The sequence below is a fragment of the Homo sapiens genome, chromosome 2 (genome assembly GCF_000001405.40).
Source record: "Homo sapiens chromosome 2, GRCh38.p14 Primary Assembly".
In the NCBI taxonomy this organism is placed as follows: domain Eukaryota; kingdom Metazoa; phylum Chordata; class Mammalia; order Primates; family Hominidae; genus Homo; species Homo sapiens.
Genome location: NC_000002.12, coordinates 69357225 through 69382893, shown reverse-complemented (window position 1 = coordinate 69382893; position 25669 = coordinate 69357225). Strand labels below are relative to the sequence as shown.

Below are 25669 nucleotides of genomic sequence, written 5' to 3'. Positions count from 1 at the left end.
TGTCATAGACCACAAGTAGAATGAGTAGAAATTTAGAGACTGGAGAGCTCTGGGGTTTGGGTTTCTGTGTTAGGTTCAGGAATGTTCTGGGTGATGGGGCAGGACTTTTACTCAACTTGTAGAGTATTAGTATACTGTGAGAGGTAATCATTAATGGCATATGTTAACCGTCAGTGAATGGAGGCGGAAATAGTTTGAGAACTACTACCAGATGAAGGAGGAAATAGAAGTGCCAGGAAAACAGACCAAGGAACAGTGGTTAAAGGCAGAAGAGTTCCAAAGTAGTATATTGCCTTGAACAGAGTCTATAAAAGTAGAAAAAGGTCATTCATATGTAATACTGCAGAGAAGTTAATTGGATATGGTTATGAAGAAATTATTAGAGAAATTGCATATGTCAAGGCAGAAGGGTCTCAGTTTGTGTTTAGGAGGAGGGCTGCAAGTAATATGAAAAAGAAGAGGATTTTGGGATTGAGGTCCCCTGGGAGTGTTGAGAAGTTGAATTCTAGAGCTGTGGTTCCTGACCTACAAGCCCTGAAGTTGTTACAGGGTGTTCATTGCTTATTCATATGCTTATAACTTTGTCTGTAAGTTGAATAAAGATTGTTCTAGATCATTGAATAATAAAAATTTAACCCATTGTTGTGAAGGAGCCTCAGAATATTTTGATGTTAACAAAAGAGTTCTGTATTTACAAAGTTGGAGAAACACTCATCAAGAGTTAGGAGTAAGGCCCAGTGTGGGGTTCCCTCTGGTAATACCAGCATTTTGGGAGGCTGAGGTGGGCGAATCACTTGAGGTCAGGAGTTTGAGACCAGCCTGGCCAACATAGCGAAGCCCCATCTCTACTAAAAATACAAAAATTAGCCAGCTGTTGTGGTACGCACCTGTAATCCCAGCTACTTGGGAGGCTAAGGGAGGAGAAGTGCTTGGACCTGGGAGGTGAAGGTTGCAGTGAGCTGAGAACACGCCACTGTACCCCAGCCTGGGTGACTGAGTGACACTCTGTCTCAATTAAAAAAAAAAAAAAGAGTTATAAGTAGCCAGTGTTTTGGCTTACACCTGTAATCCCAGCCACTCAGGAAGCTGAGGCAGGAGGATTGCTTGACGCTAGGAGTTCAAGATCAGCCCGGGCAACATAGTGAGATCCCATCTCTATTAAAAAAAAAAAAATTAGCCAGGCATGGTGGTGCATACCTGTAGTCCAGTCTACTTAGAAGACTGAGGTGGGAGGATTGAGTCCAGGAGTTTGAGGCTGCAGTGAGCTATGATTGTGCTGCTGCACTCCAGCCTGGGTACTGGGTGACAGAGCAGGACTGTTAAAAAAAAAAAAAAAAGTTACAAGTAGGGGAGAGGCTAGCTTCAGAGAGTAGTATGTGTAATATGTCTCTCTTGAGATTACAAGGAAGGATGAGAAGTATTTATATATTGTTAAACTGTTGAAAAGAAGATGGGTGAGGGGCAGTGACTCATGCTTGTGAACTCAGCATTTTGGGAGGCTGAGGTGGGAGGATCACTTGAGGCTTGGAGTTTGATACCAGCCCGGACAGCATATTGAGACCTTGTCTCTATATTTTAAAAACAAAAAAAGAAAATGAAGACTTTAATTCTGGCCAGGCGCAGTGGCTCACGCCTATAATCCCAGCACTTTGGGAGGCCGAGGCGGGCAGATCACCTGAGGTCAGGAGTTCGAGACCAGCCTGGCCAGCGTGGTGAAACCCTGTCACTGCTAAAAATACAAAAATTAGCCAGGCGTGGTAACACACGCCTGTAATCCCAGCTGCTGCTCAAGAGGCTGAGGCGGGAGAATCGCTTGAACTCAGGAGGTGGAGGTTGCAGTGAGCTGAGATAGCGCCACTGCCCTCCAGCCTGGGTGACAGAACGAGACTCTGTCTAAAAAAAAAAAAGACTTTAATTCTATAAAGTAAGAATCTACCAAAAATGAAAAAGAAGCTGGGAAGAGAAAATGAGGATTTGAGAGTAGTATGTAGCTTAGACTCTAAAATAATATCTGGGAGAAGTTTGAAAGTTAAGCAAGTGATGAATTAATAGGATTGGTCAGCAGTTCGGAGGGCCCATCCGAAAGTGGACCGAAATGGATAGGATAGATGAGTTCTCCTTGGCTGTCATAGTTCAGTGTAGAGATGCTCAGAGACTAGGAGTCAGAGCACAGTGGACCCAGAGGGTTTGACTTGGCAGTATGATGAAAAATTGTAGTCTGATGTGAATGGTCAGAAGAGAGAGAGATGGAATATTTGAAGATTGTGAGCAGGAAGTACATGCTTTTTTTTCTCAAGAAAGATGATGACATAGGTTGACTGTGAGGGAATGTATAGAGATGTCATGACTTAACTAGTGATTTGAGCTCCAGAATGTTAAATGTGCAAGAGACGTGTCATGGAGCCCCTTCTAGTGGCAATAGTTACAGTAAAGTAGGGGAGACATGAACCAATTAAACACACAAATAATTGAAAGTCTTAATTGTTTCACTCCATATGTTATTTTTGTATGTGTGATTTATTTTATTTTACTTTTACATTTTTTATTTTTTTGAGACAGAGTCTCACTGTGTCGCCCAGCCTGGAGTGCAGTGGCGCAATCTCGGCCCACTTCACCCTCTGCCCCACCTCCTGGGCTCAAGTGATTCTTCTGCCTCAGCCTCCTGAGTAGCTGGGACAGGCACGCGTCACCATGCCTGGCTAGGAATTTTGTATTTTTAATGGAGACGGGGTTTCACCATGTTGGCCAGGCTGATCTCGAACTCCTGACCTCAAGTGATCCACCCTCCTCAGCCTCCCAAATTGCTGGGATTACAGGCGTGAGCCACGGCATCTGGCCTTTATATGTGCTTTTAGGATTGTAGAAGATGTACCTTGGCTGGATGCATTGGCTCATGCCTGTAATCCCAGCACTTTGGGAGGCCGAAACAAGAGGATCGCTTGAGTCCAGGAGTTCGAGACCAGCCTGGGCAATGTAGTAAGACCTCATTTCTACAAGAAATAAAAAAATAACTGGGCGTGGTAGCTTACGTCTGTAATCCCAGCTACTCCAGAGGCTGAGGCAGGAGAATTGCTTGAACCTGGGAGACAGGTTGCAGTGAGCCAAGATCGCATCACTATACTCCAGCCTTGGCGACAAGAGCAAAACTCCATCTCAAAAATTAAAAATAAATAAGTAAATAAATAAATAAATTACAGGCACATTAGCATGTGCCTGTGGTCCCAGCTACTTGGGAGGCTGAGATGAGGGGATCACTTGAGTCCAGGAGGTGGTGGTTTTAATGAGCTGGGATTGTGCCACTGTACTCCAGCCTGGGCGACAGAGCAGACCCCTGGTGAAAAGAAAAAAGAAAATGTATCTCAAATAATACTTAATTTTAAAGAAATCTTAAATGTAGAATGTGATTCCATAATTATAATATTGACTAGTTCACTGCAACCTTGAACCCCTGGGCTCAAGTGATTCTCTCACCTCAGCCTTCCAAGTATCTGGGACTACAGGCATGCACCACCATGCCTAATTTTTTATTTTTGGTAGAGGCAGGGTCTCCCTGTATTGCCCAGGCTGATCTCAAACTCCTGCCCATGATCCTCCCGCCTTGGCCTACGAAAGTGCTGGGATTACAGGTATCTGCTACTGTGCCTGGCCTGTAGAAAAATTTATAGCTGAAGGACTGGGAGTGTGTGTATGGGAATAACAGTAGTTATCTCTGAGAAAGGGGTTGGAACCTGTGTGGAGACAGAAAGGAGAGATTTTCACAATTCTGTAGCATCTGTATAGTTTTAATATTTATTTATTTATTTCAAATTTTAATAGAGACAGGGTCTTGGTATGTTGCCCTGGCTGGTTTCGAACTCCTGAGCTCAAGTAACCTCTGCCTCTCTTCCCACAGTGCTGGGATTACAGATGTGAGCCACTGCTCCTGGCCTACTTTGAATTTTTAATGATGGTGATGAATTAATTTGTGACTAGCATTATAAGAAAAATAAAATTTAGAGTTTAAGTGACATTGTAGGTAGATTTTGATTCAGAAGTTTTAAGTTTAGAGAATGAATTTGAACACTTATCACTGATAAGTTACAATGTTTAGGGTCCCAAAATATTGCAGCTGTCAAATGATAAAATATATAAAAATAAAATTTAGTATTCATAAGGACATAAATGCAACCAGACATAGGAATTTTAATAATTTGACGAGTCAGTTTTCTTTTCAGTAAGGTTTAACAGTCTGTATTTGCAGCTACATTGCTTTCAACCAGGTGTGTCTAGTCTGTGATCCAGATTGCTTCTGAAATTTTGTTAGCAAGGTGCTCATAATTGCTTTTTTGTCATTGAATTTAAGTTGCCATTTATTGAGAATGATGCCTGTAGGTTCAAGCATCTGCTTCAGTTATGGAGTTATTTTATTCCAAGTATATTCCATTAGTAAGAAAGCTTACACTTGTGAAGTGCATGCTGATTTGGGGGTAGAGAATCTATGCTTATACAGCTACTGTGTGTGCTCTTAGAGCAATTACTGAAGAGTGGCGGAAAGTTGATATTAGGCTTTTGTCATTACCTTACTTAAGAACTGTTTATTGGGAGTTTAGGCCGGGTGCAGTGGCTTATGCCTGTAATCCTAGCACTTTGGGAGGCTGAGGCGAGTGGATCACCTGAGGTCAGGAGTTCGAGACCAGCCTAGCCAACATGGCGAAACCCCATCTCTACTAAAAATACAAAAAATTAGCCGGGCATGGCGGCGGCCACTGTAATTCCAGCTACTTGGGAGGCTGAGGCAGGAGAATTGCTGGAACCTGGGAGGTGGAGGTTGCAGTGAGCTGAGATGGCGCCAGCCTTGGCGACAAAGCGAGACTCTGTTTCAAAAAAACAAAAAACAAAAAACTGTTTATTGGGAGTTTTGATAAGACAAGTCAAAGACCTGAAAATAGAGGTCAGACTAACGATTTCTGCTCTAACAAGCATCATTGTGAGTTGTGAATGCCTCCCTTGTGAACATGCCCTGTGTACCTGATGAATTGCTGCCAGTATTGTCTCGGGCACCCCAAGATTACAGTTAACCCGGTATCCCCGCAGGTGGAATGTCTTGGGCTAGTAGTGCTATCAAGGGACAGGGCTATGAAACTGACAGGTTCAACTTCTTAGCTCCCATTTTCCTCATCAGGTATGTCTGAGGCTAATCCCCTTCCTTCTTCTAGCTCTGTTACTTTTTTGTTTGTTTCTTTGTTTGTTTTTTTGAGACGGAGTCTTGCTCTGTTGCCCAGGCTGGAGTGCAGTGGTGCAGTCTAGGTTCACTGCAACCTCTGCCTCCCAGGTTCAAGCTATTCTCGTGCCTCAGCCTCCCGAGTAGCTGAGACTACAGGCACGTGCCACCACAGCTGGCTATTTTTTTTTTTTTATTTTTATTTTTAGTAGAGACGGGGTTTCACCATGTTGGTTAGGCTGGTCTTGAACTCCTGACCTCGTGATCCGCCCGCCTCGGCCTCCCAAAGTGTCGGGATTACAGGTGTGAGCCACTGTGCCCAGCCAAAATGTTCTTAAGCTCTCAAGATTCATATAGTGAGCCATTATAAACCAAGGAGATTGGAGTTAGAAGTATTATTAAAGTTGAATGCTGTTGTTGAGTTACATTATTAAAAACAGTGAATTTAATATTGCATTACTTAATCTTTTTTTTTTTTTTTTTTTTGAGACGGAGTCTTGCTCTGTTGCCCAGGCTAGAGTGCAGTGGCACGATCTCAGCTCACTGCAACCTCTGCCTCCCAGGTTCAAGCAATTCTCCTGCTTCAGCCGCCTGAGTAGCTGCGATTGCAGGCACCTGCCATCATGCCTGGCTAATTTTGGTATTTTTGTGGAGACGGAGTTTCAGCGTGTTGCCCAGGCTGGTCTTGAACTCCTTACCTCATGTGATCCACTCGCCTTGGCCTCCAAGTTGCTGGGATTACAGGCGTGAGCCACCCAGCCCTGCCGCATTAATCTTTAAAAAAAAGTAGAGTCTATAAATTGTCTTAAAAACAATTTTATATCATTAGCATTTAAATAGTTTTAACACATTCATATACATCTTTAATCTTTAAATCATTTACCATCCGGCTTACATTTTTATGTTTTTACCAACTTTCATTTTTATCATCTGGCTTACATTTTTACTTTTACTATCAGACTTAGATTTCTTAAAAAAGAGAGAGTTTAGGAGTGAGTTTTTCTGGATGTGCTTAGAATTTGGCAGCTCTGGACAATCTGCAAACAATCCTCGACAGGCTTCTGTTTTCAAATAAGCTAGATTGTATCCTCCTTTAGTGGACTCTAGCTGATGCAGTCACAGTGGTGGGAACTAGTTCAGATTCAGTTTTTTTCACACTTTTTTTTTTTTCTTTTGAGATGGAGTCTCGCTCTGTCTCCCAGGCTGGAGTGCAGCAGTGCGATCTCGGCTCACTGCAACCTCCGCCTCCTGGGTTCAAGGGTTCAAGTGATTCTCCCCGTCTCAGCCTACCAAGTAGCTGGAGTACAGGTGCACGCCACCATGCCCGGCCAATTTTTGTATTTTTAGTAGTAACTATGGGTTTCGCCATGTTGGCCAGGCTGGTCTTGATTTCCTGGCTTCAGGTGATGCGCCTGCCTTAGCTTCCCAAAGTTGGGATTACAGGCGTGAGCCACTGCACCTGGCCCACATTTGTATTAAAGTATTGTTTTAGAAAAGATTTGTGTGCTGTGTATTGTCTTTTAATGACCTGGTTAAAATACTTAATTGATAGTTATCTGTACGTGTTTAATCTTTCTCAAAGATCAGTGACCCATAGGTGAAGAGTGCAAAGTTTGATTTACAATTGGGTTATTCGTTTATTCATATTACAGATACTTCATGAAGGAACAGCAGTAGCAACAAAAACCCCGGACTCATTCTTCTGAATTAAATGGGTGCAGATTGGTCTGGAGACTCTTCTGCTGCCCTCTAGTGTTTATATCATGAGTAGCCATTGAAAGTTGGAAGCTGCACATTGCTGTGCCGCTACCACTCTTACCTTAGCAATATCCTTAAGCAGCATGTTGTTTATCCTTATCTTAATTGCTGTGCTTTGAGGTTGGGAATGCTATTTGTGGGTATCTCTGGGATATCAGTTAACTCAATTTCTATTTTTGAATTATGTAAGATAGATGTTCTACCCTCCCTTACAGGGTGGTGGTGCTGTGAAAGTAAGATGACTGTACATTACAGGAAAGCTTAAAAAAATAAAAATGTAAGGTGTGTGTGTATCTTTTTTTAATCTGAATGAAATATGGGATTTCTGTAAGTCTTTGGCCTGGAACTGCTTCTTTGGGGAGAGTTGAAACCGTTGTTTCAGGTTATTTTGGATTTTAATGTGTGAGTTTCTCTTTTTTAGGGCATAATAATTTATTTGAGAAAATTGCAATGTATTGATCATGGTGATCAGCATGTATGTTATGGCTTTCCTGTTGGGTATCAACAATGTGCCATTTTTGTATACTGAAATATTTCAGTAGGATCACACTCTATAGAAGTAAATGTCTCTTTTCAGATGGAAATGAAGACTAGTTTTTTGGGAGTTCTATCTCACAGAATTAATTTAAACTTCTTATGAATCAGAATTACAGTGAAATGTAGTTAAGAAAAAAGGAAGTTTTAAAATAAGCAGCTTGAACTTGTATTTTTGTATATTTTATATAATTTAGTCTTCAGTTTTGATACATTAAAGCTGTGTCCACTCTGGCCAAAGCACAGCCATGGAAAACCTCAGATAATGCCCATGCTGCCATTCCTAAAAGTGTGGATTTCCTTTACCTGTGTTTTGTTACTTCTTTGCTTATCCCGTTCAGTTCACATTGTATTACTGCTTTGATTTCTAGTTTTGTTTTTCCAAATGATTGCTCTTTTTCTGTGAATTTTCAAGGGTTGTTATGTGGTTGTCATTTGCTAATGTGATGAACAAGTAATTCAAGCAATTATCTTTTAAGATAGTTATATATTTGGTCAGTTTTTACTATTTTACGTAATTATTTAAGGGGTGAGTATTTTTCATATCATTTATTCCTAAATGTCACTGATAGCATGGTTATTGGAAATAAGCAAAATTAATCTCATTGGTACAGATTTTAGGGCCTATATATGTTGCTTAAATTACTTTAGAAATTTTTTTCTTGAAACGAAATGCTCTGTATATAGGACATAAACCATGAATTTGTTAATTGGTTTTTAAAAAAATTAAATTTCACTTGACAAAAATGGCAGTCATGGAAAATAAGTAGCCAGCTTTATAAGCTTCTTTGCCAGGTGCAGTGGCTCACACCTGTAATCCTAGCACTTTGGGAGGCCGAGGCGGGCAGATCACGAGGTCAGGAGATTGAGACCATCCTGGCTAACATAGTAAAACCCCGTTTCTACTAAATATACAAAAAATTAGCTGGGCGTGGTGGCAGGCACCTGTAGTCCCAGCTACTCGGGAGGCTGAGGCAGGAGAATGGTGTGAACCCGGGAGGCGGAGCTTGCCGTGAGCCGAGATCGTGCTGCTGGACTCCATCCTGCGTGACAGAGTGAGACTCTGTCTCAAAAAAAAAAAAGAAAAAATTATAAATGTGTATTTTGACATGTTTAGTTTTTTATACTTATGAGAAACTCCCCCTTGAAAAAGTTCCATTGCCTTTAAACGGTTTGAAATGTTTGAAAGACAGAATCTAACTTCACGTTTTTTCACATACTTGACATAATTATGCTAATTTTGATTTTTTAAATCAGAATTTTTCATTAAATATTTGTTTATTTGCAGGTATATTTGCTTACTTAAACTACCATGTTCCTCGAACGAGACGAGAAATCCTGGAGACCCTAATCAAAGGCCTTCAGAGACTGGAGTACAGAGGATATGATTCTGCTGGTACTTTAAAAAAAATACTATGGATTTTGCATGATTCTTTAAATAGATACTATTTTTATTGTTATTAGGAGACTAGACTATTAAAGTCTGTTTTGTTTTGAGTAAGTGTAAATTGGAAGAATTTTTGTCTTTTATCATATTTAAAGGATTTATTTATGTAATCTCAACAGTGTTACCATTTATGTGGAGTATTGCTTATGATGATCTCTTAAGAATATTATTGTAAAAACATCATATGGGGGATTATTGTGGTAAAACAAAATTCGTGAAGGTCTTACTCTAAATTCTTTTTTCTTTCCTATAACTTTAATTTTTATCCATTGATTTCATGCTTTGACACATAAACTTGCCTCAGATTCTTTTTTCTTATTTTTATTATTTATTTTTGAGATAGGGTCTCACTCTGTCACCCCAGCTGGAGTGTAGTGGTGCGGTCATAGCTCACTACAGTCTCGAACTCTGGGCTCAGGCAATCCTCCCTCCGTAGCCTCCTCAGTAGCTAGGACTATAGCTGTGTGCCACCATGCCCAGCTAATTTTTAAAAAGTTTTTGTAGACACGAGAGTCTCACTATGTTGCCTGGGCTGGTCTCAAACTCCTGGCCTCAAGTGATCCTCCTGCCTTGGCCTTTCAAAGTGCTGGGATTACAGGCAAGCCACTGATTCCAGCCTCATCTATCTTAAATAAATTACACATAAACATAACTTTCTGGCAACTTTATGTTCTACCCTAGCTCCTTCCCTCAACTATGTCAGAGGTTCCTAAGACCATCCTCAGATTTGACGATTCCCTAGGAGGACTCACAGAACTCAGCATTTGGTTGTACTCATGGCTATGTTTCATTATAACAAAAGAATACAAAGCACAATCAGCAAAGGGAGAAGGTGCAGGAATTGAAGTCTTGAGAAAGCTAGGCACAAGCTGCTCACCAGTGGATCAGTGCCTAAGGTTTTCATTGGGGGTTGGTCACATAGGCACCCTCTGCCCAGCATGTACCAAAATTCTAGACTCCCAAAATAAGAGCAGATGTTCAGCATAAACCACTTTGTTTGCACAGTTTGTGTAGTGAGACACTTTTGGTTAGGGTGGTAGGAATCCTTCCAAAAACCAAGTTTCTAGACACCAGTGAAGGGCCAACCTTGAAAACAGGCCTTTCTGAGGATAGCAGTTTCACACCTGCTGTGTTAACTCTTTTTTGTACACTTAACATTGCCACATGGAATGGACATTTGTCTTCCTTGACTTTCCTTAGTAATGGAAAGTCAGTTCCTCAACTCCTTTGTTTTTAAAATTCTCTCCTTCCTTAGCTTCCTTGACAGCACATCTTATTCTCTTCCTAAGATGCTAAGATTACTTCTTTTCTGTTTGCTTTGGAGGCTCCTTTCTTCTACTTACAGCTCAAATATTAATGTTCTTCAAGATTCTTTTTTTTTTTGAGGTGAGTCTTGCTCTGTCACCCAGGCTGGAGTGCAATGGTGCGATCTCGGCTGACTGTTGCAACCTCTGTCTTCCGGATTCAGCTGATTCTTCTGCCTTAGCCTCTCCAGTAGCTGGGATAACAGGCATGCACCACCACGCCTGGCTAATTTTTGTATTTTTAGTAGAGATGGGGTTTCACCATGTTGCCTAGGCTGGTCTTGAACTCCTGACCTCAGGAGATCCACCCGCCCTGGCCTCCCAAAGTGCTGGGATTATAGGCGTGAGCCACTGCACCCAGCCAATATTCTTTTCTAGATCCACTTCTCTTATTTGGTGTCTTCATGGGTGAGCTCTGACTCATCAATCTTCTTTTTTTTTTTTTTTTTTTTGAGATGGAGTCTCACTCTGTCACAAGGCTGGAGTGCAGTGGCGTGATCTTGGCTCACTGCAGCCTCCACCTCCCGAGTTCAAGCAATTCTCCTGCCTCACCCTCCTGAGTAGCTGGGATTACAGGTGCCTGCCACCACACCCAGCTAATTTTTGTATTTTTAGTAGAGACGGGGTTTCACCATGTTGGCCAGGATGGTCTCGATCTCCTGACCTCGTGATCTGCCCGCCTCGGCCTCCCAAAGTGCTGGGATTACAGGCGTGAGCCGCCGTGCCTGGCCCATCAGCCTTCTGTTAATATATGTTGGTAACTTCTTTGTTTTATTCTTTTTATTTTTTATTTATTTTTAATTTTTATTTTTTTGAGATGGAGTCTTGCTCTGTCGCCCAGCCTGGAGTGCAGTGGCATGATCTCAGCTCACTGCAAGCTCCACCTCCCGGGTTCACGCCATTCTCCTGCCTCAGCCTCCCGAGTAGCTGGGACAACAGGCACCCGCCACCACGCCCGGCTAATTTTTTGTATTTTTAGTAGAGACGGGGTTTCACCATGTTAGCCAGGATGGTCTCGATCTCCTGACCTCGTGATCTGCCCGCCTCACCCTCCCAAAATGCTGGGATTACAGACATGAGCCACCGCGCCCGGCCAGTATTTTTTATTTTTAATTTTAATTTTTTTGTGTGAGAGTATGTTGGTGACTTCTAATCCAGATGTATTTCTTTTAATCCAGATTTATCTCCCAAGCTGTATTCTAGGCCTCCTACAAGTTTCTTCCTAGATAGACCATGATATTTTAAACTTTGCATGTTCAAAAATTGAACTGAGGCCGGGCGTGGTGACTCACGCCTGTAATCCCAGCACTTTGGGAGGCTGAGGTGGATGGATCACTTGAGGTAAGGAGTTCAAGACCAGCCTAACCAACATGGTGAAACCCCATCTCTACTTAAAAAAAAAAAAAAATTAGCCACGCATTGTGGTGTGCACCTGTGATCCCAGCTATTTGGGAGGCTGAGGCAGGAGAATTGCTGAACCTGGGAGGCAGAGGTTGCAGGGAGCTGAGATTGCGCCACTGCCCTCCATCCTGGGCGACAGAGCAAGAACCTGTCTCAAAAAAAAAAAAAAAAAAGAAAAGAAAAGAAAAATAAGCTGAATACATTGCAGTCCTCACCCTGCTCCCCACCCTGTTTTTTGTTTGTTTGTTTTTGAGATGAATCTCACTCTGTCGCCCAGGCTGGAATGCAGTGGTGTGATCTCAGCTCACTGCAACCTCCACCTCTCGGGTTCAAGCCATTCTCCTGCCTCAGCCTCCCAAGTAGCTGGGATTACAGGCATGCCCACTCTGTTTTTCTATGTCCCTTTTATTGAGAATCATTCAACAAGTCCTTCAAGCCATTCAACAAGTCCTTTGAGGTATTCCACACTTCTCCTGCTTTCTCACTTACATTCAGTCAGTTCCACTTTTCAATATCATTTATTTCTGTCTGCATTACCACTGTTTAGTTCAGGTCCTCTTCATTTTTGCTTTGCTGTAGCTGTAGCTTTTGACAGCTGGTTTCTTCCTTCCGTTTCTCTCCCTCCAGTTCTTTCCCTACACTTGTTTCTAGAAGGGCTTTGCTAAACATTTTTGCCGAATCACTTCTCTGCTTAAAGGACAGTGTTTTCCCAGTATCTTCAGGGTAGCTTTTTCAAATTCCTTAGCAACTTAAGGAGACTCTTAAGAGATGTATTCTGTGACCTTCTTTCCTTAGCTACCTTCTGAGGTGGGTGCCCATCTTTTGCATTTCTCCATTGTATCCCAATTGTAACCTGTAGTATTTTTATTATAATTCATAATCACGCTGAATTATTTTTTCCTTGTCTGTCTTCTCGATAGACTTAGAAATTTGAGGACAGGAATGGAGTTATTTTTGTTTTTGTGTCTAGCAGCTATCCTGGTTCTTGACACACAATAGGTTTTCAGTAGGTAATTGAATTAATACATTAGTGAATTAATTAGATGAGAATGTATTTTTTAATTAAAAATTTTGCCTCACATTAATAATTTTATCAGTAGCCAGTTTCTAAATTTTGCTTTTTTACCTCATGATGGTTTAGGTGTGGGATTTGATGGAGGCAATGATAAAGATTGGGAAGCCAATGCCTGCAAAATCCAGCTTATTAAGAAGAAAGGAAAAGTTAAGGCACTGGATGAAGAAGTTCACAGTAACGTACTTAATTTGATTTTTGTCCCCTTTCCCCTTCTCTTCCTTTTCCCCTCCCCATTCTCCTCTAAGTTACTCCCTCCCCCCATATTTTGGGACCAATTTTAATGATAATGGTCTGTAACATTGAAGGGAGGAAAGAAAAGTAGTTTTGTTACTGTCTGGACTAGTTTTAAAATGTACCTGAGCCTGAAAAATAATCATTGCAACTAGGGAAGGAAATTAGTTAGGTATATTACCTTCAGTGTAAGCTCTGAATATTAAATGAAGTATCTTCAGAGCCACCATTCCTGAGGAAGAGCTTTTCATAAGACAAAAGGTATTTTTAGTGATGCCCTTTTACACATGTCTTCACTTGCTAATTGTCTTCACTTTGGATTAAATGCCTAGCTTGGATGTAGTCAATTTTGACATTGCACCTTTGAATAGGTCTGATATAATCTGGTAAGTATCATGTTTTCCCTCACAGTTTTCTTCTCTGGCACAAGGAGTTGTCAGAGATGTATGCCCCATCAAAGAGGATTTACTTCTCAGTATTTAGATCATAACATTATTCTTACACATTTTATTTTTTTCACAAGAAACTTGAAAACAAAGCAAACTTTGAAGTAGATTGATTGAAAAAATATTTTTAAAATTCTCCACAAAACCCAGGAAACCGCAAGTATTTTATGTACCTACTCATATGAATGCCATCATAATCATTGTAAAAGAGTACAGGTAGAGGAAAATGATGGATTTTGTCTTTTTTTTTTCCCACATAAGCCATACGTTTAGCTCTGTAGTACTTGTTTAACGAATTAAATCAATACTTATTTTGCCTGTATTGTAGTGTAAGATTAGCTAGGGGTAAAGCAGACACCCAAATAACTATACTTCAAAAACAGTAGTATAAATATCTACTATGTGTTCTGCATCCTGTATACCAGGCTGATTGTAGCAGGTTCTGTAGGAGAGAACAGACATTGCTGTGAGATTCAGGGGAGAGTTCCCACAAGTTGACGAGACTGGGAATACATAGGGAATGGGTGCTGATTATATTTGGTCAGTGAAGATGTGAAGGGAGGACCTTCTGAGTAGATAGCATAGCAAGATAAGAAGAGTAATGGCAGGCGTGTTGATGGAATGATAGTAGTCCTTTTTATTTACAGTATTGGTAGACAAATAAGGGAGGCTAGAAAGGCAGATTGTGAACAGAATCACCATTTTTCAATGTCAGCATATTGAAACATGCCTCTTCGTGGTCAACTTTTTTTTTTTTTTCTTCCCTTCCCAGATGGAGTCTCGCTGTAACGCCCAGGCTGGAGTGCAATGGTGCAATCTTGGTTCACTGCAACTTCTGCCTCCCAGATTCAAGCGATTCTCCTGTTTCAGACTCCCGAGTGGCTGGGATTACCAGGCGTGTGCCATCATGCCCGGCTAATTTTTGTATTTTTGGTAGAGATGGGGTTTCACCATATTGGCCAGGCTGGTCTTGAACTCCTGACCTCAAGTGATTCGCCTGCCTCGGCCTCTCAAAGTAGTGGGATTACAGGCATTAGCCACTGAGCCTGGCCAACTGGTTTGTTTTTGAAGTGTAGTTATCTGAGTGTCTACTTTACTCACAGCTAATTTTTTTTTAAGATGGACTCTTGGTCTGTTGCACAGGCTGGAGTGTAGTGACACAATCTCGGTTCACTGCAACCTCTGCTTCCTGGTTCACGCCATTCTCCTGCCTCAGCCTCCTGAGTAGCTGGGACCACAGGCGCCCGCCACAACGCCTGGCTAATTATTTCGTATTTTTAGTAGAGATGGGGTTTCACCATGTTAGCCAGGATAGTCTCGATCTCCTGACCTCGTGATCTGCCCGCCTTGGCCTCCCAAGTGCTGGGATTGCAGGCGTGAGCCACCACACCTTGCTAATTTTTGTATTTTTAGTAGAGACGGGGTTTTGCCATGTTGGCCAGGCTGGTCTTGAACTCCTGACCTCAGGCGATCCACCCTCTTTGACCTCCCAAAGTGCTAGAATTACAGGCTTGAACCACTGCACCTGGCCAACCCCTAGCTAATCTTACCCTGCAATACATGCAAAATAAGTATTGATTGAATTTATTATCTACAAATGGAAACTTGTAGATATTGCTGGTGAATTTGTAACTGGTAAATCACTTTAAAGAGCAATCTGGCCATATCTACATGGGAAATGCCTATAACCTGAGACTAAGCACTTCCACTCTTGGATATATACTTGAAGGAAACACAGTGAACAAGGTGACATGACAACAAGATTCACTGTTGCAAAATTTAGAAACAGCCTAAATGTCTATAAGTAAGGGAATGGGATGATATAATAAGTTGTGTGTGCCGGGCGTGGTGGCTCACGCTTGTAATCCTGGCACTTTGGGAGGCCGAGGTGGGCGGATTGCCTGAGCTCTGGTGTTTGAGACCAGCCTGGGCAACATGGTGAAACCCCATCTCTACTAAAATACAAAAAATTAGCCGGGTGTGGCGGCGTGCACCTGTAGTTCCAGCTATTCGGGAGGCTGAGGCAGGAGAATCACTTGAATCCAGGAGGCGGAGGTTGCAGTGAGCTGAGATCGTGCCACTGCACTCCAGCCTGGGTGACAGAGTGAGACTCCGTCTCCACAAAACAACAACAACAACAACAACAACAACAAAAAATAAGTTGTATATGATAGTGAATGAGCATATGTAGCTTTTGAAAGAAGTGTACTGAATCTGGTTCTGCATATGGGAACATGGATAATTCCTGGTATGTAAAGTATAGGACATTTAAAAACACAAAACGGTACTATCATTTATGGTCTCATGTTAACATAATCATAGTTTAAAAGGCATGAATAGTAAGACTGTGTCAACTTGAAAATCTTCTGAGGAGTAAGTGAATGGGATGGGGATATAAAGGAGGTTATCAACTGCATTTTTTACATTTATTTATTTCAAGTTTCCATATACCACACTGATTTTTTACATTTTAGATCTTAAAAAATATGTAAAGCACAGATGACTAGATGTTTTGTTAACTCTGAGTATGGGTAGTTGGGTGTTCATTATTCCCAGCAAATTTAAATATGTTTGAAGTATTTTTTTTGAAAAGGGAAGATGACATCTGAGAAAAGGCAGGCAGAGGGCAAGGAGCCATGGGAGTAGAGGTAGGGTAAGATAGAAGATGCAAATGAGGAAATTATTGAAGCACTACGGCCCAAGAAGATCAAGGCACAGGCAAGGAGTTAGCCTTTAAAGGAAAAAGTGTACTTTAGGAATCAAAGATGAAAGACAAACTTAAAGCAGATAATTACCAGGTGAGAGGACAAAAGCTGAGTAAAGTGGAAATTGAGGGATTGCAGGTAGGATTGAGCTTTATGGAGAATAGAAAAGATATGATGAACTGTCAGGGAACTGGATTGAGCTATCAGTTTAATGAATAAGGAACTTGGATACATGTTTCTTAGGTAGCAACAGTGAAATAGATATGTGAATTTGAAAGGGTCTTAATTTACAGAATTTTCTGACTTTCTTCAGTATTGCTTGGCAGTAGATGGGAGAAGAGAAACCGAGTGTGGGGGTTAATCTAGACTTAAGATTCAGCAAAGGGCTTTAAAATGGGTAACAGACAATAAGGAAGCGTCAAGGATTCAAAGTCATGATTAATTTATATGACAGGAAATATTTATTATGAGAAATGTGCTTATTGTCATAGCAATAATTTTTTCTTACTAGACATTCGGTAATGTTCCTACAGCAACAGTGAAATAAAGGTGTGGTAATTATCATGAATTTGAAATGGATTCAATATATAGAATCTTGTGACTTTCTCCAGTATTGCCTGCCAGCATGTGCAAGGAGATACTGCTTTAATTATAGTTAGCTTAAAAAAGTTGTCAAAGAGGCCAGGCGTGGTGGCTCACGCCTGTAATCCCAGCACTTTGGGAGGTTGAGGTGGGCGGATCACCTGAGGTCAGGAGTTCGAGACCAGCCTGGCCAACATGGTGAAACCCTGTCTGTACTAAAAATACAAAAAATTAGCCAGGCGTGGTGGTGCGTGCCTGTAATCCCAGCTACTCAGGAGGCTGAGATAGGAGAATCGCTTGAACCCGGGAGGGAGAGGTTGCAGTGAGCCAAGATTGCGCCATTGTACTTACTCCAGCTTGGGCACAAGAGCAAAACTCCGTTTCAAAAAAAAAATAAAAAAAGTAGTCAAAGATGTTTTCATTTCTTGCATTGGCCTGTTGAATAATGGTAAATGGTATTTTTCTTGAGGTCATTTATCAGGTTGCCTTAATTACTTAGAACACAGTTAAGCCAGGAAAGAATAGATGCCTGAGTTTATTCATTGATAGATTGAGCCATCCAACAAAAAGGTATCTGCCATGTATACCTTTTAGTGCTTAGGATTCAAAAATAATAAGGTAGGCTGCTGTTTTTGTAGAACTCAAATTCTGGTGGAAGCTAGGTTGACAACATATAAATGTTATAGTACAATAGAATATACCATTGTGGTTTTATTTATTTATTTATTTACTTATTTTTGAGACGGAGTCTTGCTCTTTCGCCCAGGCTGGAGGGCAGTGGCATGATCTCAGCTCACTGCAGCTTCCCCTTCCTGGGTTCAATTGATTCTCCTACCTCAGCCTCCTGAGTAGCTGGGATTACAGGCGTGTGCTACCACGCCCAGCTAATTTTTTCAGTAGAGACAGGGTTTCACCATGTTGGCCAGGCTGGTCTTAAACTCCTGACCTCTGGTGATCCACCTGCCTCAGCCTCCCAAAGTGCTGGGATTACAGGCATGAGCCGTGGTGCTCGGCCAGTTTGCTCTTAATTTAGACCTAACTCTGATAAACTTTGTTATCTGGGTTCTTAGCCAAATTAATTTTATATTTAGGAAATTAAGAGCATTACTAGTTAATAACTGGAGCTGTCCATTTTTTTAAGAAACCCCAAGAAAAGATAGCTTATATGAAAAATAAGAATCAGCTACTTCTTTTTTTTTTTTTTTTTTTTTTTTTTGAGAGGGAGTCTCGCTCTGTCACCCAGGCTGGAGTGCAGTGATGTGATCTCAGCTCACTGTAACCTCTACCTCCTGGGTTCAAGCGATTCTCCTGCCTCAACCTCCCGAGTAGCTGGGATTACAGGCGCGCACCACCACACCCGGCTAATTTTTGTAGTTTTAGTAGAGACAGGGTTTCACCATGTTGGTAAGGCTGGTCTTGGACTCCTGACCTTGTGTCCCACCCGCCTCTGCCTCCCGAAGTGCTGGGATTACAGGCATGAGCCACCACATCTGGACAAATCAGCTACTTTTCAAGATAAAGGAACATTGGCCTATGCCGATTTCCCAGTAGCCCCATACTTTCATAGCATTGCTCGGTTCTTAAATACCTATTTGATTTTGGAGGCACTCCATAGTTGCAGTTTCTATTGTGAGACGTGTGTACACTCACCAGAGACCAAAGAAATTGCAGTCATAAGGTTGTGTGTCATTGGGAAAATGAATTTATTTTTACATGTTTAATTAAATTGATAATGACTTTTTAAGGCAAGAATTAAATATAGATTTAAAAGATTACATTAATTGTTTTTGTCCTTAACTCTTGAGTATTTGTATCTCCAGGAAACTTGAAAGAATAGTACATTATTACCTATATATACTTCACCTAACTTTATCTGTTATTAAAATTTTGTCATGTTTGCTTTAACTCTGTATTAGTTTTTTGGTTGTTATTGAAACCATTTGCCTTCAATATTTCAGTTGCATAAACTCCTAAATCTTTATTTATCTTTATTTTTAATTTTTGTGGGTATATAGTAGGTGTGTAAACTTACTGGGTACATGAGATGTCTTGATACAGACGTACAATGTGTTCCTAAGTCTTTTTTTTTTTTTTTTGAGATGGAGTCTCGCTCTGTTGCCCAGGCTGGAGTGCAGTGGCATGATCTCAGCTCACTGCAACCTCTGCCTCCTGGGTTCAGGCGAATATCCTGCCTCTGCCTCCGGAGTAGCCAGGACTACAGGCGCGTGCCACCATGCCTGGCCAATTTTTGTATTTTTAGTAGAGATGGGGTTTCCCCATGTTGGCCAGACTGGTCTTGAACTCCTGACCTCAGGTGATCCACCTGCCTCGGCCTCCCACAGTGCTGGGATTACGGGCGTGAGCCACTGCACCCTGCCTCCTAAGTCTTTTAATCACTATTTTGAATATGCCTGATCTTTAGTTTCAGTGATTGTATATTCCAAGAGAGCAGCATTGTAATAATTGTATTTAAATATAGCTTATAGCATTATCTCTGCAGCATGATTTAATATTGAAATTTTTCTTTTCATATTCTTCAGAGCAACAAGATATGGATTTGGATATAGAATTTGATGTACACCTTGGAATAGCTCATACCCGTTGGGCAACACATGGAGAACCCAGTCCTGTCAATAGCCACCCCCAGCGCTCTGATAAAAATAATGGTATGGAAAGATTTTTTGTGCTTTGGAATGATTGTGGAAACCTAATAATGGGGGCAGAATGAAGGCTTTTAGATTTTCATTATTTTAATAATTTTTCATCTGGAAAATTTCAAACATTCAGAAGTAGTAGAGAGCATATGGAGCTGAGAGTGCTGGCTCATGCCTGTAATCCCAGCACTTTGGGAGCCTGAGTTGGGAGGATTGCTTGAGTCCAGGAGTTCACGATCAGCCGTGGCAACATAGTGAGACCCTGTCTCTACAAAAAATAAAAAAATAAGTTAGGCATTGTGGTGCATGCTTGTAGTCTCAGCTACTCGGGAGACTGAGGTGGGAGGATCGTTTAAGCCCAGGAGGTAGAGGCTGCAGTGAGCCGTGGTCACACCTCATGCCATTGCCCTCCAACCTGGACAACAGAATGAGACCCTGTCTGTCCACCATGCCTGGCTAATTTTTGTATTTTTAGTAGAGACGGGGTTTCACTGTGTTGACCAGGCTGGTCTTGAACTCCTGACCTCAAGTGATCCTCCCGTCTCGGCCTCCCAAAGTGCTGGGATTATAGGCATGAACCACTGCTCCTGGCTGAGAACTTTTGTTATTGGTTTTGTCCTTAGGGCATATCTCTCTAGAAATGTATAATCAAATTACTGTGTTTTAGAGTTACTTGGAATAGTCTTTCTCCATGCAGTTGTGCTACGTGTTACTTTAATATGTTTTAGAAACATTTTTTTTATTTTTATTATTATTTTTTGAGACCAAGTCTCGCTGTGTCGCCCAGGCTGGAGTGCAGTGGTGCGATATCGGCTCACTGCAACCTCCACCTTCCAGGTTCAAGCAATTCTCCTGCCTCAGCCTCCCAAGTAGCTGGGACTACAGGTGTGTGCCACTACACCCGGGTAATTTTTTGTATTTTTAGTAGAGACGGCATTTCACTGTATTAGCCAGGATGGTCTCGATCTCCTGACCTTGTGATCCGCCCACCTCAGCCTCCTAAAGTGCTGGGATTACAGGAGTGAGCCACTGTACCTGTCCTATTTTTTATTTTTAAGGATTGATATTCTTTAAAAATAAATGTTATTTATAATTATTTAAAATATTTACATAATTCCGAAGTCACATCTTTAAAATAAGACACACTAAAAGAAGTCTACCCAGCACTTTGGAAGGCTGAGATGGAGGGATTGCCTGAGCCCAGGAGTTTGAGACCAGCCTGAGCAACATGGCAAAATCCTGTGCCTACAGAAAATACAAAAATTAGCTTGATGGTGGCATGCGCCCATAGTCCCAGCTACTCAGGAGGCTAAGGCAGGAGGATCACCTGAACCTGGGGGTTGAGGCTGCAGTGAGCCATGATTGCCCCATTGCACTTCAGCCTGGGTGACAGAGTGAGACTGTCTCAACAAAACAAGTCTAGACTCTTCTGTTTCCTCTTATTCCCCTCGTAGGTAACATTCACCAATTATTGAGTCTGTTCTTTCATTTAAAAAAAATAAGCAAATACATACAGAATACATACAAAAGTGTGTATGTGTGTATTTATCCCTCCCCATTTTTTTTCCTTTTATTTTAGAGACAGGGTCTCACTCCTCCACCCAGGCTGGGTACAGTGGTGGGATCATAGCTCACTGTAACCTCAAATTCTTGGGCACAAGTGATCTTCCTGCCTCAGCCTCCTGAGTAGCTAGGATCACAGGCTTGCACCACCACACCCAGCTAATTTATTTTATTTTTGTAGAGATAGGGGTCTTGCTTTGTTGCTCAGGCTGGTTACAAATTTCTGGACTCAAGTAATCTTCCCACCTCAGCCTCCCAAAGTGCTGAGATTACAGGCATGAACCACTGCACCCAGCCCTTGCTGATTTTTAGTTTAATTCAGAAGCTGCCTATTTAGGCTTCTTGTGCTTCAATACTTACTGTTGAATTTGATCATAATGCTAGCAATAATTTAGACTTTTGACACTGACAAGGCCTTTATGAAAGATTCCCGAAAACTTACATCTAGATTATGTTTTGAGAATTTGGCTTTAAGTTAAGACCTTTAAATTAGCTGTTTATTAATCTCTTTGTTCTAGCATGAAGTTTTTTTTTTTTTTTTTTTTTGAGAAGGAATCTCGCTCTTTCTCCAAGGCTGGAGTGCAATGGCATGCTTTCCGCTCACTGCAACCTCTGCCTCCTGGATTCAGCGATTCTTCTGCCTCAAGCCTCCCAAGTAGCTGGAATTACAGGCGCCTGACACCACGCCTGGCAATTTTTTGTATTTTTAGTAGAGACAAGGTTTCACCATGTTGGCTAGGCTGGTCTCGAACTCCTGAGCTCAGGTGATCCATCTATCTCAGCCCCCCAGAATGCTGGGATTACAGGCATGAGCCACCGCACCCGGCAAGTTTTTTTATAAATTTATTTTTGTGGTTGCTATCATCTCTAAAAAATCTAGTGAAAATGTTTATTATTTGGTTTCTAATTACTGTCAGCCAAAATATCAGATCTTTATGTATATTAAGAACATTGTTGGGGGCCGGGTGTGGTGACTCATGCCTGTAATCCTAGCACTTTGGGAGGCCAAGGCAGGTGGATCACCTGAAATTAGGAGTTGGAGACCAGCCTGACCAATATGGCAAAACCCCGTCTCTATTAAAAATACAAAAATTAGCTGGGTATGGTGGCATGCACCTGTAATCCCAGCTACTTGAGAGGCTGAGCCAGGAGAATCGCTGGAACCCAAGAGGTGGAGGTTGCAGTGAGCCGAGATCGTGCCACTTCACTCCAGTCTGGGTGACAGAGCAAGACTTTGTCTCAGAAAAGGAAAAAGAACATTTTGGCCTGGCATAGTGGCTCATGTCTGTAATCTCAAGACACTGGAAGGATGAAGTGGGAGGATTGCTTCAGCTCAGGAGACTAGCCTGGGCAACATAGCGAGACTCTCTCTACAGAAAAATAAAAAAATTAGTTGAGTGTGGTGTAAGCAGCTGTAATCCCAGCTGCTTGGAAGGCTGATGTGGAAGAATCACCTGAGCCCAGGAGTTTAAGGCTGCAGTGAGTCATGATTGAGCCACTGTACTCCAGCTTGGTGACAGAGCAACATCGTGTCTCCAAAAAAAAAAAAAATATTTTGATAATTTCATATAAAATTTAATTTAGCAGTAATTTTTCTCCTAACTGAAATGAACTCTGAATAATAAATCCAGGATTGGTAGGATTTTTTTTTTTTTTTTTTTTTTTGAGACAGAATCTCACTCTGTTGCCCAGGCTGGAATGCAGTGGTGGGATCTCGGCTCACTGCAACCTCTGCCTCCCAGATTCAAGCGATTCTCCTGCCTCAGCCTCCCAAGTAGCTGGGTTTACAGGCACGTGCCACCACGCCTGGCTAATGTTTTGTATTTTTAGTAGAGACAGGGTTTCGCCATGTTGAACAGGATGGTCTCAAACTCCTGACCTCAGGTGGTCTGCCCATCTCGACCTCTTAAAGTGCTGGGATTACAGGCATGAGCCACCGTGCTCAGCCGGATTGGTAGTTTTTATGTACCAGCAGTCGCTACAAATAATGATATTGTCAACTCTTGATTATCTGTTCTTACAGTTTTCAAAATTAGTTAAAAAAGATGAAAATTATCCCGAGATCATGTCTATTTTCTCTTGGAATGATATTTTAACATTTATGTTTCTGACATTCTATGACTTATTTGGATCTCAAACAAGTAAATTTAACTATGGAACTGATTGGTTTTTCTTAGCAAATTCCTTAGTTCTAGTTCTTAAATTCATTTAGTGTAAATCAGATTATTGTTTTAGTTTGAAAGGACTTCTCTTTAAACTTTTACTCAAGAATGAATGAACAGAGAAATAAGAAGAATATTTAGTTCAGCTCTCTCATTTTGCAAATGAGGCAACAGACCCAATAAACTTGCTCCTTTCACATGGGTAACATTTGATTACTAGTTTAGCCACAACTGAAATTGTTATCTCTAGACTTCCTGTTTATTTCCCTACTGTACCCACCTCCCCTGCACTGTTTGCTTCAGCTATGCCACATAAACAATGCTGCTGATCTACCTGATGATAATCTGGTAAATGAGAAGTAGATGTAATTATGTTATAAATAACATAAATAGTATATAGCATGTTAAAAATTTTTGACTTGAGAAAAATCCAGTTAGAGTAATAGCTATTTTAGATTTATCATACTTCTAACTTTTTTGTCTTCAACACTTTTACCTCTTTTAGAATTTATCGTTATTCACAATGGAATCATCACCAACTACAAAGACTTGAAAAAGTTTTTGGTAAGTAAGGTGACCTCAAAAGACCCCAGTCTTTGAGAATACTTCTAACGAGAGCACTGGGGTCGGTTGTTGGGATGTGCAACAAACACCATATGTGTGTCATCAATTAATTTCTTGGACAATTCCAAGGGCACGGTGGTTTATTGGATTTTTCTTTGCTAACAGTGGAACAATTGTGTTTTTTAATATGAAAAGGAAATGATTAGCATTTGACTGTAATATACATGACAAAAGGCTCAAATAAAATTGGAATTTTGTGGAGACATTTTTTGCATTCTGAGAGATTGTCATGCTTTAAAGTTCCTAGGATATATTAATACAAGAAGAATCAGGACAAATTAAATGAAAGTTTTATGTCGTAAATAGCTATATACTGTATAGTAGTGGTCATAGTGCTGACCTGCATGAGTGCTTTCTTAGGGCTGTTCAATTGAACTTTCTCCAGTGTTGGAAGACAGTGTATCTGGGCTATTCAGTATAGTAGCCACTGTCCACATGTGGTTGTTGAGCTAGTATGACTGAGGAACTGAATTTTAAATTTTATTTAATTTTAATTAAATTGAAATAGCCACATACAGCTAATGGCTATTTATTAGACAGTAAGTTAAGTGTATGTTCAGTTAAACAGAGTCCCACACTGTTTTAGAGTCACTGATCAGCTGGTGACTTTAATTTTGAATAATGGGATATGGTGTTCAAAGAATATTAGAAATTAGTGGCATTTTGACGGAACAATTCTGTAGAAAAGGTTTTTTTATCATTAATATTTCTTTAATTGTATCTTTTTTTTCTTTCTACTTACAGGAAAGCAAAGGCTATGACTTCGAATCTGAAACAGACACAGAGACAATTGCCAAGCTCGTTAAGTATATGTATGACAATCGGGAAAGTCAAGATACCAGCTTTACTACCTTGGTGGAGAGAGTTATCCAACAATTGGTATTAAGCCACATTTTTAAAGATAATTATGCCAACATTAATGCTGAGAAACTTTCTGGAAATTAAGTTTGATAAGCAGGAACTGTGCTATTTTTTTATTTTTGGCTTTTATTTCTCATATAACTATTCAAGTTGAATAATTTTGAGAAACTGATTGATTTATTGATTCCCCCCCACCCTCCATTTAAAATTCTACTTACTTCATTCAGGTTTAATGTCATGAAAATGAAAATTAATCCAAAATCAGTGTGTCTAAAAACTATGCATATATGCACACATCCATATGCACCACACGTGGACATGTACACAGTACACACGATGGAGGATTAGTTATTCCCTTGCTTCTTGCTCATCCGAGTGTTCTTCTCAACCAATAACTTAGCACAATAGTAGCTTCACAGCTACCACAGTTTATTTTCTGGGATAATGCCTGCTTGTCTCTGAGCCAACAAAGTCAACTACTTATTTTTCCTTTTGGGGACTTTCCCTTGGCTCTGAACTTCTATAGAAAAGCATTTCCAAGCCCATGAGAAAATCAGTATTCTTTTTGATTCCATCCAACATTCCTAATTAAAGATTAAAGACATCAAAGATCTACAAATGTCCAAATCCATAGTGATACCTACATTTCCCTTCCCCACTCATAACTCTAGCTTTCCCACTTAAAAGTCCTTTACTTCCCAAATACGGTCCAGCCCTCACTTCTCTCCCACCTGCACCCAAATCTTATATCTGTAGCAAAAAGAGGAAGCAGGAAGATGGAGAATGTAGAGGCCTATTCCTTCCCTTTCCCCAAGGCAGAGTGGAGTAGTGTGCCTTCCCAGCCTTTTCTCGTTTCTAACAGGCTTTGCCTTTTATTCATTGTATAATCCAGTTTGTGTTCCAAGGTGGTTCTTCCCTCTCCTACTTCATGTTCCTCTTTTATCTGTTCTTGATTCCTGTAAGCTCTGTCCCTGAGGATTCGGGTTGATGGAGTTGTATGGTGTGCATGTTAATAATTGTATATATTTATATCTCTAATATCAAGGTCAGAAAGAGTGGAAGTTAACAGTGGTGTACAATTACTAGGGCAGAGAATAGGTTTTGGATTTTGATCTTAGGATC

General features: G+C 40.9%; 1 protein-coding gene across 4 annotated transcripts in view, besides 1 other annotated feature; it reads left to right on the top strand.

Annotated features, from left to right (window-relative positions):
* GFPT1 (glutamine--fructose-6-phosphate transaminase 1) overlaps positions 1-25669 on the top strand; it is a 67448-nt gene that overhangs the window by 4334 nt on the left and 37445 nt on the right. For all 4 annotated transcript variants that reach the window (NM_002056.4, NM_001244710.2, XM_017003801.2 and 1 more), the window contains exons 2-6: positions 8781-8888; positions 12786-12893; positions 19224-19349; positions 23568-23626; positions 24431-24565. In NM_002056.4, coding sequence (NP_002047.2) covers positions 8781-8888; positions 12786-12893; positions 19224-19349; positions 23568-23626; positions 24431-24565 — 536 coding nt within the window. The remainder of the gene's footprint in view (positions 1-8780; positions 8889-12785; positions 12894-19223; positions 19350-23567; positions 23627-24430; positions 24566-25669) is intronic.
* Positions 1374-1423: an enhancer, noted in NCBI's record as "active region_15970". NCBI's record gives its function as "activates an Ori minimal core promoter by ATAC-STARR-seq in GM12878 lymphoblastoid cells {active_cell/tissue: GM12878}" and the evidence as "EXISTENCE:reporter gene assay evidence [ECO:0000049][PMID:35858748]".